The sequence below is a fragment of the Homo sapiens genome, chromosome X (assembly GCF_000001405.40).
Source record: "Homo sapiens chromosome X, GRCh38.p14 Primary Assembly".
NCBI classification, from domain to species: domain Eukaryota; kingdom Metazoa; phylum Chordata; class Mammalia; order Primates; family Hominidae; genus Homo; species Homo sapiens.
In genome coordinates this window covers 123,588,814-123,604,325 of record NC_000023.11, presented here as the reverse complement: position 1 = coordinate 123,604,325, position 15,512 = coordinate 123,588,814, and the positions used below count along the sequence as shown (strand labels likewise).

The window sequence follows — 15,512 nt, the reverse complement described above, 5'->3', positions numbered from 1 at the left end:
CACACATATAATCTTGTCTCAGCAGAGTAGGAAGGCCATCTTCTGTTGAGATGTGTCCTACAAATGTGGTATGTGATATTACCAATACAGCTTATAGCACCAATAGGTGTCTGTGATGGAGAACAGCAGACTATGAACTGAGCCTGGAGTAGAAAATTTTTGAGAAGCAGCAACAGTCCTAGATGTGAAAAAGATAGATCTGTGTGATCCCTTACATTCAGAACTTACACTTTCTTATTTACAATGGTTAAAGCAGTACATATTAAAAAATAGTTAATAAAACACTTAGGAGAATGTTGCAGGTAATGTGGTATAAATGTTAATAAGAAGAAAAATACTGCTTTGCTGAAAATAGAGTCCTGAAGGCTGAGTTTGGCACTGCTTCATCACTATGCAACTTTCTTCTTGATGACAGCTAGCTCTTTCTGAAGTTCAGTAAACTTGGGGGCAGTTTTCAAGTTTGTAATCCTAACACCTCAGCATTATTTTATTAAAATACTCTGTGGACACTGCCAAGAGACTGACATCCAGTATCTTCTTTCCACTTGCTCTTGTGGTTGCTGATTTGTCATTCCAGGCTATGGACAGACCCCCTAAGCCGAAAGTCTCCCAGAGGAGGATGCCAAAGCTCCGTGCGTCACTCTCAGAATGATATCTCCCATAATTAAGAGCTTCTGGTGCTGTCCATTTAATGGGAATCTGCTTTAAGTCAGAAGATGAGTACACACCACCATCCTCTTGACGAGACATTCCAAAGTCACTGATTTTCAGAACATTATTTTCACCTCCAGGCAGTTTCTTACAGCAAGGTCCCTGTGTATACATTTTTTACTCGAGATACACCATCCAGAATCAGCATCTAATGAAAATTTCACTGAGTTTTAGTTCATTCTTCTTTCTCTGAAAGGAGAGGAAATCGCCTCCAGGAACCAGTTCCTTAATGACGTAGATAGGCCGTCTTTGTGTGTGAACTCCTATACTTTTGACATTACTGGGATGATTATATTGCTTGAGGATTTTGGCTTCTAGTAAAAATTTTAATTTCAGTTCCTGGGGAAGACGTTCTTGACGTGTTTTAACAGCAACAGCAATTTTATCCTTTAATGTGACCTTAAATGTGTCACCAAAATTTCCCTTGCCTCTTGTAACGTGGCACCTTTATGATTGAGAACCCATTTCTTATTCTCCTAATGGCCATACTGTGATACCATGATGCTCTTAATTGGAACATTGACTTTTTTTTTTTTTGCAATTTAAACAATTGAGATAAAATTCATATAACATCAAATTTACCTTTCACTTTTTTTTTTTTCTTTTGGAGACCAAGTCTCGCTGTTGTCTCCCAGGCTGGAGTGCAGTGGCGCGATCTCGGCTCACTGTGACCTCCGCCTCCTGGGTTCAAGCAATTCTCCTTCCTCAGCCTCCTGAGTAGCTGGGACTACAGGCGTGCACCACCACGCCTGGCTAATTTTTGTATTTTTAGTAGAGATAGGGGTTTCACCGTGTTAGCCAGGATGGTCTCGATCTCCTGACCTGGTGATCCACCTGCCTCGGCCTCCCAAAGTGTTGGGATTATAAGCGTGAGCCATGACGCCTGGCCTCAAACTTGCCATTTTTAAAGTGTACAATTCAATGGTTTTTAGTATATCCACTATGTTGTGCAAGCATCACCGCTGTCTAATTCCAGAGCATTTCTGTCACCCCAAAAAGAAACTCCATGCCTATTAGCAGTCACTCCCAGTTCTTCCCTTCCTCGGCCCCTGGAAACCAGTAATGTACTTTCTGTCTCTGTGATTTTGCCTGTTTTGGACATTTCATTTAAATGGAATTATGCAATAATTTGTGGCCTTTTGTGTTTGGCTTTCACTTAGCATCATGTTCTCAAGGCTCATCCATGTTGTGGCATGTATCAGTACTGCATTCCTTTTTATGGCTAAATGATGTTTCATTGTATGAGTGTGTACCACATTTTATTTATCCATTCAGCAATTAATGGACAGGAACAATGGCTTTTAAGTATTAAATTGTAAGTTCAACATTAAATGTATCCACAGTTATTGATAATATCAAGATTATACATGGTGTGAACAGAATGCTGTGTCGAAATGGTATGTAAATTATTTGTCAGCATTTCATGTAAGTGATTATTTTCTAAGGACCCTTCTAGCCCTGGTTTTAAGAAATATGTGAATGTAGTATTTTCATCAATAAAGTTTAATGCATTAAGCATTAGCTTAAAATTTGAATGAAGGCAGATGTGAAGATATTTGCCACATGTTGTAATAATCATGTTTTGAAATTATTTCAATATGAAGTATTTGAAAAATGTCAATACATAAAGGAAAGGAAATGAGTATAATTAAGTCAATATATTTTTAAAGCAATTTTTATAATTTAGCAGACACTGCATCTTAATATAAGTTACTATTAAAATTGTGTCCTTGTGAAAAATGTGATGTCATTTTCCTTTTTTTGTTGATCATGTAAAATAGGTTACTTTTCTTTGCTACATTTTCTATTTAATAAGCTATTGCTTGCCGTTGTGGAATGTTTTACTTGTTGCTCCATTTTTTTCTCCCTACCCCCACCCCTCTCTCCCACACGCACACAATGTTCAATTTTTTTTTTAAGTCATCATTAGTGTGTTTATCTTTAATGGATTCTAAGAATGGACAAAAAGAAACACACAAATATTTCATCCTTTTCTGGGGACTCAAGTCTTTGTTACCGATGGAACTCATTAACTTCTTGTTCTTTCTTAAATCTTCCTCCCTCCTTACCTTTTCCTCTCCTTCCTTCTCTTCTTCTTCCTTTCTTCTCCCCTCCCTCCCTCCCTCCCTTCTTCCCTCCCTCCTCCTTTCATTCTCCTTCTCTCCTTCTCCCTTCCTTTTCTCCTACCTCCTTTGACTAAGCCTCCCTCCCCTACTCCCTCCTTTCCTTCCTTCCTTCCTTCTTCTCTATCAATATAATCACTTTGTTTCTTTCAGGTGAGATCGGACTGGAACTGTTCGGCTGCGACCAGAAATTTATTTTCCTGAGTAAATTGCCGAGAATTAAGAATGAAGAGGGCCATTTGCATCTCCTTAAATTATTCAGTTACCTGCTTTATTGCTCCATGTGGAAAACTTAAAATTGTTAAGTTGTGCATTACTGTATTTTAACTTGTTGCTTAGTTTCTACATGTTTATTTTCAGTAATGGCTGAAAGTGTTAACTGTTCCATACTTTTAGCACAATGTGCTGCATAAGGTTACCTGTGTACAGAGTTTTACTTTAGATTAACTAAATATTGCCTGGGTTCAGTTTTTATTTCCATTCTGAAATGCTTCCTTTTTATTGTTTGAAACTGAAAATAAACAATTGTTGAACCCTTTTGATTTTACCTCATTTTAAAACTGTTTTAATTTATTATTTGGCTTGTTCTTAATATTAGTCACTAAAAGCAGTGGGAGCATTGTCTTATGAAATGCTTAGGAATCATTTTATATAGTACATGTACAACATTAAACGTGTTTAAAAAAGAAAAAGGTACCAGCGATCACTTGTCCCTTGCCATTTTTTCTTGTAATTATGTTAGACAAATCTTGGCGGCGGGGGGATCAAAACATAATTGTTTTAATTCTACAGCTGTAGGAGCTTTGTATTGCTGAACTTTCATCTGGAAAAGTTTCACAGTGACATTTTTAAAAGAGAATTTTTTTATCTGCCGAATTCTACCAGTGTAACCTTTTTTCTAAATAAACAATAGTTTTCTCAAATGGTTGTATATTATTGTGTATATTGTTGCTTATTCAGAATAACTTAGCAAAGATAATTCATTAAGGTTCCTAGCCCTTCTCAGTTCTTATTCCATGGGCTACATTATTTTCCAGTGACATATCATCCAATAATAGGAAAATATCCTGTTTGATTACCTCTGTAGTTGGAGTAAACAGTGGACTTGGTAGCATGCCTGGATTTTTCCATTTAGTCTTCAGTTCCTTGGAAACGATACCTATGCAAATTAAAATTTTCAGAGAATGACAAAAAGGATATAACTTTTTAAAGAATTGAGAATTACTGAGCATATTTTAAATGAATTGGCAAAAGGGTATAAATCTTGATGTCTCTTTTCAGGTAATTGTAATTTGCAAAAATCGATGAGCAGAATATTTATGGGAGGGTGATATATTCAGTGACTGTTGAGTGCTTATAATGTGCCTGACATAAAAATAGATGTTTTGTTAGAGTGATTTTTGACTTTGAGAAAATAACTATGGCTTACCTCAAAATTATTTGCCTGAAAGATATCAGGAAGAACTTTCCAGTTGTTAAATATGCATTCATATTTTAAAGGTTACATGATTGTGGTTTTGAACTAGAAAGTTTACTAATTAGATAGCATCAATATGCCTTCTCTGTGTTGCCCCAAATCATCAAACACAGGTAATTAGTTCTGGCCTTACTAGAAATGCATTGATGATGGAAAATACTATCTTTGGATTAACTGTGTAAAAATAATGTATGTTGGAAGTAGGAAATCTGTGTTTGTAAAGTGCTAGCTATTTTAGGGCATCTACTCTGTTCTAGGTCCAAAGAAGTATAAGACCTGTCTCGAGAGTGCTTCCAATCTAGTTTGGAAAAGAAGAACCAAATGAATGCTATGGGGGGCCAGCAAACTTTTTGTAAAGGGCCAGATAGTAAATATTTGTGGCCTTGCAGGCCATGTAGTTCCCATTGCAACTACTAAGCTCTGCCATTGTAGTGTTGATGCAGTTATAAATAATATGTAAGTGAATAAGCATGGCTGAGTTCAGTAAAAGTTTATTTACAAAAACAGGTGGAAGCCTAGATTTGGCCTGCAGGCTGTAGTTTGTCAACCCCTTCTATAAAGAGTAGAGAGTCCTATAGGGTATTCATTAAAAAATATTTGAGGGTGGGAGAGGGGTGAGGGATAAAAGACCACACATTGGGTACAGTGCACACTGCCTGGGTGATGGGTGCACCAAAATCTCAGAAATCACCACTAAAGAACTTATTCATGTAACCAAACACCACTAGTTCCCCAAAAACCTATTGAAATATTTGAGTGCCTCTTATGTATCAGAGGTACAGCCATGAGCAAAACAAACCCCTGCCCTCATGGAACTTCCATTCTAGTCAGTGGAGGCAGACAACAAACAAATAATGTTATTTGGAGGGAGGTCCTCTGAGGAAGAATAAACCTGGATAAGGAGACTGGGGTGAGGCCGAATTTACTGCTGATTACACAGTGACTATGGAGTGAAGATGAGCGAAGCAGGGCATTTTGAGGCAGTTATTACAGTATGAATATTTTATTACCGAATAATCTGTCTGTGATTCCCAACCCATCTTTGAACCTTTTACATAAACATAATATGCAGGATCTCTCTCTCTCTCTCTCTGTTGTTCTAGTGGGTGGCATCTAGGCTTGCCATTTTCTAGAAAGGAGTTCTTGACTAAAGGCTCATGAATGAGCTTGGGGGGTATTTATGGGCCTTCCAGAATCCCAGAAATTGGGTACAAGTTTGTGTTATGTACACTTTTCTGAGTCTATAGCTTTTGCCAGATTCTCAAGAAAATAAGCCTAAGGTGGTAAGTTTGTTTTAATGGGTCTTGTTCCAAAGGTGTTTGAGACCTTTATAACTAACTCTGAATCTTTTTGGGGATGGTGAGAAGGTGGAAGGCAGTTGTCTATCTACCTTGGATTAAATGGTAGGGGCTAAAGTTAGAGCAGCAGCCTTTCTTGCCTTGGCAAATAATCTACAAGTGATTTGCAATTTGTTGGAAAGTAACTGGTCCATGCGGGCCATTTCCTCTTTTAAGGAGGTACTTTAGCCAAGTATGGGCAGACATCCTAGTAGCCTTTTTTTTTTTTTAGGACAATTATGTAATTGATTTATTTCTACCCTACTATGATCCAAAAAGGATTTATGAAAAAAAAAAAAACATAGTACAGTATCTTTAAATGAGAAAATTTGTTTCTGGGTGAAATTAGTAACCTAAATGAAGCTATTGCCCCAAAATGTCATGTACAAGTGGGCCATGGAGAAACTGGCAGGCCACAAAGAGAAGGTAATGTGGTTAGTTATAGGAACTAGTGTCCATCAAATATAAAGCTAGTTGCAGCAGAGAAGAATGTTTCCTGGCACCGAGGCCTGAAAGAAACTTCTTTGCATTCACAAAGCAGTCATGTCTTTTCAGTGGATAAAACAAAGGAATGTGTCTTTTAAATGGTCTTGAGTATTACCCGATGGCCAACACCTTAGTTCATTCTAGTAAGGTTATTTCTACAATGACACCGGAACATGCGGTCCAGGCATGCAGGTCTCTGATGATTTGTTTCAGTCCAGGAAAATATTTTTAAATATTTGGGACAGGGTTTGTAAACTGGGATTTATTATAGCCTTGTTTTTTGTAAGTATGTTTGTAAAGATTAGGAAACTCATGCGACTGTTGTTTGGTTCCCATAATACAAGTAATATGAACAAGACCTCTTTAGTGTAAAAGCTTTGCCTGCCCTTTGTTTCATTTTTATGGATGGTGATCTCTAAGGCTGCCTCTTAGATAGAATGAAGCTTATTATACTGTAACTTCAATATTCTATCTCAATACTTATCAGAAATGTGGTTTAAATGCTTAAGTTTTTGTTTGTTTCTGTTTTTTTTGAAACAGGGTCTCACTGTTGCCCATGCTGGGGTGCAGTGGTGCGATCTTGGCTCACGGCAGCCTCCACCTCACAGGCTCAAGAGATTCTCTTGCCTCAGCTTCCCGAATAGCCTGAATTACAGGCACGTGCCACCACACACGGCTAATTTTTGTATTTTCGGTAGAGACAGGGTTTCACCATGTTGGCCAGGCTGGTCTCGAACTCCTGACCTCAAGTGATCCGCTTATCTTGTAAATGATTAAGTTTTAAAAATTGAAGTAACATTTCTAGAGACACTATCTTTCAGGGCCAAGGAGATTTTATTGGGTCCAGAGTTGAGAATAAAAAGAGGAGCTGCATAAAAGATGGTAATTCATGCTAACTGAACACAGATTTTCTTCTATTTATAGACAGAAGTAGACATAAGAACAACAAAAGGAGGGATATTGGAAGTAGTGATTAAAGGAAGTGTGGCAACCTGAGAAAATAAACCTTAATGTAAAAAATTCTGTTTTTGTTCCTGATTCTTAGGTACTGTTTTAAGCTGTAATGAATGGCCATTTCTAAATGGATCAGGCTTAAAAAGCTTAATTCCTTTGATGTGTTGCTAAATGGATGTGGTTAATAGAGGAAGGAGAGGGAACAGAGATGATTCTGATTGGGCACAGGGCACATAAGCTTGAGAAATACATAATTGCAGATCAGAAATAGCCTTCATTTCATGGATAGGAGCTAGAAAATGACCTGGCACTTAACCTCTAGCTTAGTTGGACCTCTGATTTTTGTTAGATGACAGCTAGATGTCCTTGGGCTCGAGTATCAGACCAATAGACAGCTATTATTACCTCTGTCCTCAAAAAATTTTCTTATATTTTAGCCAGAATGATACTGTACTTTGTTCAAGGCTTTCTTGATCCTAATTTCATGTGGTATGTAATAGTACTTATTTCCTATTACATATATCATCATTATCAAAGAACACTTCTGAATTGTAATTGGATACGCCATTGCTAGGCACTATTAAACAGCATCTTTTCTGCTTTCTGGAATAATTGATCCAAGACATCAGTAAGACAGACAAACATGCTAAGCAAGAAACAATATGTAAAATGAGTAAGGTATCCATACCACATGCAGCTGGGGACCAGGTACATTTTAAGAGGTTGGTGAATACTCGGTAAGAATTACCTCAGACTGAGTGTGATTTGAGAAGTTTTTGTCCACAACAGGTTCGTCTAGGAAAATTTTATAAAGGATTTGGACTCTAAGGAAGCCAATTGCTTTCTCCTTAGACCTAGAAGGTATAGGTCTTTTGGGGTCTCGTTTAACTCTAAGTTGGCACTGGCGGAGAGTGAATGTTGAACTTGGAATTCTGAACAATTCTGGTATTATGCAGAATCTTTGAAGCCAATTTGTTATACCAGCCCAGGAATAGATCAGATTTGAGAGACAAATGCTCTCTACCTCTTTGGGTACTTTTCCTTAACTGCCTCAATATTTTCCCCTTTTTTTGGTCTTAACCCCTGACATCATCAGTCTTTTTATTGCTTTAATCAGTGTTAATTACATTTTTCATGTCTTTACAGGTAATTAAAAAGTTGTCGTCTCTATGTCAAGATGACTTTCCTTGTCCATTTGTATTCCTCTGAGTGGGGATGAACTCCACTGAAACTTCTTACACTGTCTCACTTGATCTTCACAATGCCCTTCTGCTAATGAATTAAATCTAACAATACATGTCAAGCACCTAAAACAGGACCTAGTACCTGGCAGGTACTCAATAACTAGTAGCAGTTGTTGTTATTAGTGGTAGTATTCATACCAGTACTTTCCAAACTGAGAATCATTAGAATGAATTGAGAAACTTTTGGAGGTCCCCACATCAAGTATATTGAATCAGATTTTCTTAGAGTAGGGACCTGGAGTATTTTCTACAAACAGTTCCTCAGGTGATTCCAAAGTAGGGATAATATTTGGGAATTACGGAGTTAAACCAGCACACAATCCCCGCATCTCAGTTCTTAATTTTGGACAAAACTCAGAGACTTCTTATTTCTGGAGGTGATAAGTATATTATGTCCCAGAGACAACCCATGCCTAGAAAGGAATATTTTCAAATCAATGGCAATAGCCTCTGTCCTGGTATCAGAGTTTATCAACTTTGCTAGCCCGTGCTACTCTTGTTCATGGACCCCCTGACTTTTCCAGCCTTCCTTCACTGACCTTTCTGAATCTCACCTCTTGTTAGACTAGCTGTATATTGTCAGCAAGCATCTGCTACTGAAATAAGCAGTTTGAAGTTCAGAATGTTTTTTGATACCACTTACACCTTCTTTAATCTGTAGCAGTTCACTTTTATATTATTGGACTTGTGTTCAGGACTGGATTTTGTCCTTCATTCTTTGTTTTTCCTTGCAAAATAAACTGATGGTGAAGGGGGGGTATGTATAAATGCTTAATAATTTAATGCTATGAATTTCCCTCTAATCACTATTCCACTCGATCCCACAAATTTGATGTGTGGCATTATCATTTTCATTCAGCTCAAAATGTTTTCCAATTTCTCTTTATTTTTTCTTTTATCCTTGTGTGTTGCTTGATTTCCAAGTATTTGCAGATTTTCCAGATATCTTTCTGTTGTTATCTAATTTAGTCTTGTGTGGTCAAAGAACATACTATGAATTATTTAAATCCCCTTAAATTTACTGGGACTTGTTTTATGATCTAGTAGCTGGTCTTCCATGGTGAATATTCCACATGCACTTGAAAAGAATGTTCATTTTGTTGTTATTGGATGTAGTATTCTATAAATGCCAATTAGGTCAAGTTGGTTGGTGGTGTTCCAAGTCTTCTGTATTCTTGCTAATTTATTTTCTGCTTGGTCTGTCAGTTACTAAGAAAAGCATGTTGAAATCTGCAAATACAATTGTGAATTTGTCTTATTTCTTCTTTTGGTTTTGTCATTTCTTAGCTTCATGTATTTTGAAACTTTGTTATTAAGTACATGCACATTTAAGATTATATACTCTTAGTGAGTTGACCCCTTTATCAAAATGAAATATTCCTCTTTATCCCTGGTAATATTCCTTATCCTAAATTCTATTTTGATATTAATATAACCTCTCTAGCTTTCTTTTTCTTGTGTTTGCATAGGATATTTTCTATTCTTTTTCTTTATATTGAAAATGAGTTTCTTGGTTTTTAATCCAATTTGACAATCTCTGCCTTTAGTTTGAAAGTTTACGCCATACATTTAATGTAATTATCAATATGGTTCTGTTTACATTTGATATCCTGGTATTTTCTGTTTGTTGCATCTTCTCTCTTTTTTTTTCTTTTCCTGCCTTCTTTTAAAAGGATTGTGCGTCAGTTTTCTCATTTATAAAATGAGGCTAATAACCATTTCATAAGGTTGTCCTGAGGATTAAATGACATTTATGCAAAGTGCTTAGATGGGGCCTGGCACACATTTTTATGTAGAGCTTGAGAAATATTAGTTTTTAAAAATTAGGGGATGGAGAACTCATTGTGATATCAACTCTTCAAAGGTTTTGGGTTCTAGACCTGGTTATGTACACACATGTAAGGTGCAGGTGGTTGTACAAGTGTGGTTTGAGTGGGCCTCTAAAGGCCTTAGCTCTAAAACATCTACTAGCTAGCTGTGGTATGAGAAATTCTCATAGTTAAGCACTTTACAGAGACTTCTGGAGATTTCCATATTCGTTGAGGTAAGGTATTTTGTGAGGGGGCAATCAGTTCTCACACTAGCACTGAAATATGGATGATTTCTGATGATACCCCATCATGCTCCTATTTCCTATACCTAGGAAAGCCCTGGGAGGTTGGGCAGGTAAATGTACATAGGCAAAAGTCAGTGAAAAGGACAAAGCCTTATCCTGGGAAGGGAGCCACAATGGGTAGCCCAGATGGTTCCTTGAAGGTGAAAGGAGAGGTGGGAAAGTTGCCAAAAAGGACCTAGCCCAGTTGGTTTTACCTTGGGCTGATTTGTGAAGTTAAACTTCTGAGTTTTGTATTTGCTTGGTTTACCTCAGTTTCAGTGTAGGTGAAATGTGTCCCAAATAATATTTTAACTATTCAACTCTTGAATAGTTGACTAGGTCATACTTTACAATTATCTCCAAAACATGAGGTGGCTTGTTTGGAAGTCTAAGCAGTAGTGGCTTTGGAGCAGTCGTGCTTTTCCCTCTTTTTCCTCTTCATTGAGGATTTATTTGGTCCCTCTGAACTCTTCCACATTCATCGAGAATATAAGCTCCATGAGAGCAGGGACTGTGTAATGCCAGCCTCTAACGTAGTACATGGCATATTGTAAGTATTCAATAAATATTTATTGAAAGAATGACCAATTTGTCATTTCCTCCAAATGAATAGAAATCTTTTTGATCAGATAAACATCATTATTACCTGCTTGACTCATTGCCCTCATGGATCTTTAGTTCATCTCACCTGGACCATTAACCTTCTCTAAATTGAGCACCAAACTTACACTGTGGGTTCAATCCTGTCCCTGGGCTGGAGGAGTACGAACAGTGCTACACAAGTGTTTCAGCAGCTCAGGATTAGCTTTGCTGCCGGTACAGCTTCAACTTTGGGTGCAGATTTTGGTTGTAGGATTTTTCTCCTGCCTCTTATGGCTAACTCTACCTGTGCATCCAAGTTCCATAAACAGAGCCCTTGTTCTGTATCTCAGTTTATCTAGAGTTGGTGTCCATGTCTTATACACAGTCCATCATAGCTGAGTCCCTAATGTTGCTCAGCCTACCGTACTCCTCTTCCCCAACACACATTCAGGGTTGTGGTAGCTTTGAGGGGCTTGAGAGAGGTTAAAAGACACTGGGAGAGGAATATTAGCAGAACAGAGGGTGCCACACCTCAGCTTGGCCTTTTGGGAAATTTTTTTCTAAATTGCTCTGTGAAAGGAAGGGAAAGGAGACCTTTTTCCTCTTCTCTCCTGCACTGCAGCCTATTGCTCTTAGGATCCAGAATACAGACTAGTACTAGTGGTCCCATGGTTGAGGTCATAGGCTTCTGGGAGCTGGTCTAAAAACTCTAACCACCCTTTGTTTTTATGGGAAAATATGTTCTAAAACAGTTCACTTACAGATAAATTTTGGAATACAGCTCATTACAGATCGTTATTAAGCTAATCAGACAGGCTTTCCCCACTAGGGAGCCTGAGTAAATGGATTTGCAGGTTGGTCTCTATATCAAAAATGAGTGTCACTCCTTTTCTATAACTCTGGACAAATAGAGATTTTTTTTTTTCTTTTCAAGGTTGGTATAATTATTTTTGACAGAAAATGTGTTGGCTGAAGGAAATACTCTCTTCTATTTTGGTGGTAGAGGTCATTATTCTGGGAAGGATATCAGCTTAGAGCAACTTTTAAAAACATTGGAGTTAGGCTGCATGCAGTGACTCACGCCTTAATCCCAGCACTTGGGGAGGCTGAGGTGGAAGGATCCTTTGAGCCTAGGAATTCAAAACCAGCCTGGGCAACATAGCAAGACCCCATTTCTAAAAAAAATAAAAAAAATTAGACATGGTGGACACATGCCTGTAGTCTCAGCTACTCAGGAGGTAGAGGTGGGAGGATTGCTTGAGCCCAGGAGGTCAAGGCTGCAGTGAGCTATGATTGTGCCACTGTGCTCCAGCCTGGACAACAGAGACACTGTCTCCATTAAAACAAAAGATTGGAGTTTTAATTTTTCAAATACATTTTCTCGTTATAACTAAAATAAGACTAATTGAGTCAATTTACATGACAAATTTTCCCAGGGTCTCTAACCCTTCAGTTCTGTTGGCAGACAGGAAATATTGATGTCTGGTGTCCTAGAAACAAGAATATGCTAACCTTTGAAGAAAGAACATTTTGTGTAATAGAAGACATCAGCCAGAGAGACCTTTCATGTAATCCTTCTCTAATCATTTTAGAATCAGTATATTAAAAGATGGTCATTAGGAATATTTCAAGGGCTACATCCCATTGCTCCCTGCAGGATATGTCCAGGGGAATTCTGACTTTGCCTACTGGCTAAATATAGTCTTAAATCTTTGTCAAAGTAACAAATAGATGTCCAACATGCACTCTCTGCCTCTGTGAGGCATTGAAGTCACTGAGGTACGAAATAAGTAATTTGCTTATTTATATTTAGTCAGAAAGCTTTCTTAAGACACTTTTAAACCCTAGTTCAGTGAATGCTACTTCCATTTATCCACCATATTTGGAGAACACGTTCAATGGCTTAAGTGAGACCGATGCTAAAATGAAAGTAGCAAGTGATGTTTCATTAAAATTCTGATTCATGTAGCCTAGTTAAATATTAACAGTATGTCCTCTTTTGAGAAAGGATGGGAGAACACTTTGTTTTAAATGGGGAGAGAGGGCCTGGACAGGGTGAAAGTGAGGTAAGATAGCAAGCATTCTTCTAGGTGCTACAGTGAAGCATAGAAACAGCATTTATTCTCCCCTCCTTGTCTTTTTTTTTATCCAAGGCATTTAGAGGTCAAAGAGCTATTATCCTGTAAGCAAAACTACTTCATTACGTGATTACTTTTGGTTCACTTTACACAATAAACACGTTCCTGGAAAGCTGTCTTGGGTGCACAAGCACAAATCAAATAGTTTTCCTGTTGACTCACACTTTCGCTTCTGATCTTCATTTGTCAGCAGATTCTAAAGCTAACCCAGTCAGGTAGTTAATAAGAGGTACTTAAACACAGAAGGGGATATAACCCCAGTGAATTATTCCACGAAACAAGCATTAAGAAAATGAATGTGCACTCTTGTATCCTAAATTTGAATTTCATATATTGGCTTTCCTAAAAGTGAAGACCAGCTAAATTTTTTCCCTTAACTATTATGTCTATTGTGATAATTCCCTCTGCATTCAAGACACCAGGTTTTCTGGATTCATTTATTCATCTAATTATTGGTCATCACCTTGCAACAATAACAGAACAATCATTTGTTCTCAAACACTGATTGATCATGTACGATGTGAGACACTGCACTTGGTCCTGGGGATCTACAATCAAGTAAGGAAAGACCTCTGTCAAGATGGTCACAGTCTGGTAAGGGAGGGAGATAAATTAATAGGCAATTCCTATGCAGTTTGAATACTGCTTTAATAGGAAAAGTACAGGGTGCTAAGGAAGCACAGAGGATGGGTGGGAGGTTGGAGGGAGAGGAGTTCAAGGTTTTATGATGTCTGTAAGAGCCCAAATCTCAGGCAAAGTCATCTGTTAGCACATGTTAAAGTTTTATTTAACCAGTTAATGAAAGAACAGATACAGAAGAATGCTGATTCAAAGAGCATTTGAGAAGCAGGGATTCATGTAGTCAGTTGGGGGAAAAAAAGCCAAAGTAACATTACTAAGTTACATTCAACTTTGGCTAATGTCTTATTGTGCAATAAACTGAAAGTTTTTGGGTTATCCACTAAACCAACCAACCTTCCCCCCAAAACTAAACCACATCTTAGTAGTTTTCTGTGAGTTAACCTCTAGCGTTATAAGACTAAAATCATCTGGACCATAATTAATTATGGATAGTTGGTCAAAGTTACAAATCTTGAGAGAGGTGACTGATAGGCCTATTAGAAAATGTTTTGCCACCCTGACATCACCACTATGCAGTCAATGCATGTAACAAAATTACACTTGTACTCCATACATTTATACGTATATTCTATCAAAAAAGGAAAATAAAAAGTACAGCCATGATAACAAGTCATGCAATCATCATTTTTCCTTATTTTCTTCTCTTTTTCTTTTTCTTTTTTTTTTTTAAGACAGAATCTTGCTCTGTCGCCCAGGGTGGAGTGCAGTGGTGCAGTCTTGGCTCACTGCAACCTCCACCTCCCAAGTTCAAGCAATTCTCCTGCTTCAGCCTCCTGAGTACCTGGGACTACAGGCACGTGCCACCACGCCTGGCTAATTTTTTGTACTTTTAGAAGCGATGGGGTTTCCCCATGTTGGCCAGGCTGGTCTCGAACTGCTGACCTCAGGTGATCCACCTGCCTCGGCCTCCCAAAGTGCTGGGATTACAGGCGTGTCTTTTTTTGTGGAGACAAGGTTTTGCTATATTGCTCAGGCTGGTCTCAAACTCTTTTTTATTTTAAATTTTAATTATTATTATTATTTTTTTACTGTGGGTGAATGATTCCTTAGACACGGTAATCCCTCACCTCCTGTATTCTCCAGTTTCTCCAGGCATGTGATCCCATGCCTGGGATTACACGCATGTGCCATCACATCCAGCTAATTTTTGTATTTTTAGTAGAAATGGGGTTTTACCATGTTGTCCAGCCTGGTCTTGAACCTCTGGCCTCAAGCTATCCACCTGCCTCGGCCTCCCAAAGTGCAGAGATTACAGGCATGAGCCACCACACCTGGCCCATTAGTTGAATTTATTGCTTAGTTAATTTTCTATTAGTGGTAGTGGAAATTAGCCATAGATTTCATAGGGTCCATGATGGTATTAGTTCAGTTATTTATTTCTTACCTTTCCCATAAAAGTATTATATATCTCTGTTCATTGCCTGGTGACCTGCTGTGAGTTTTGTGAGAAGAGGACAAGACAGGTCCCCGCTTCATTAATTTTGGCCTTGACTGACATACTTTGGCTAATAGATCGTGAGTAGTTATGACATGTGCCACATCCAAGTAGAGATTTAAGCTGATTGTGTGGCCTGGCTTGGCCTCTTGTTGGGTTGGCCTGCAGTCAACCCACAGTTTACATATGATATGAGCAAACAATAAAGGTAATAAGCCAGCGAAGTTTCTCCCTAAGGGTAGGAACAAGATAAGACTGTCCAGTCTTACTAATTCTAGCCAACACTGT

General features: G+C 38.1%; 1 protein-coding gene and 1 pseudogene across 17 annotated transcripts in view; one reads left to right on the top strand and one right to left on the bottom strand.

The window, feature by feature from the left end:
• THOC2 (THO complex subunit 2) overlaps positions 1 to 3,757 on the top strand; it is a 132,484-nt gene extending 128,727 nt beyond the window's left edge. For 11 of the 17 annotated variants that reach the window (NM_001081550.2, NM_001441235.1, XM_047442273.1 and 8 more), the window contains one exon: positions 2,988 to 3,757. The gene's annotated coding sequence lies outside the window, so the exon portion shown is untranslated. Of the gene's footprint in view, positions 1 to 577 lie in introns of all 17 variants that reach the window. The other 6 variants (NM_001441236.1, XM_047442274.1, XM_047442269.1 and 3 more) reach the window with 1 other exon arrangement.
• Positions 212 to 1,186, bottom strand: FERP1 (FER tyrosine kinase pseudogene 1; annotated as a pseudogene).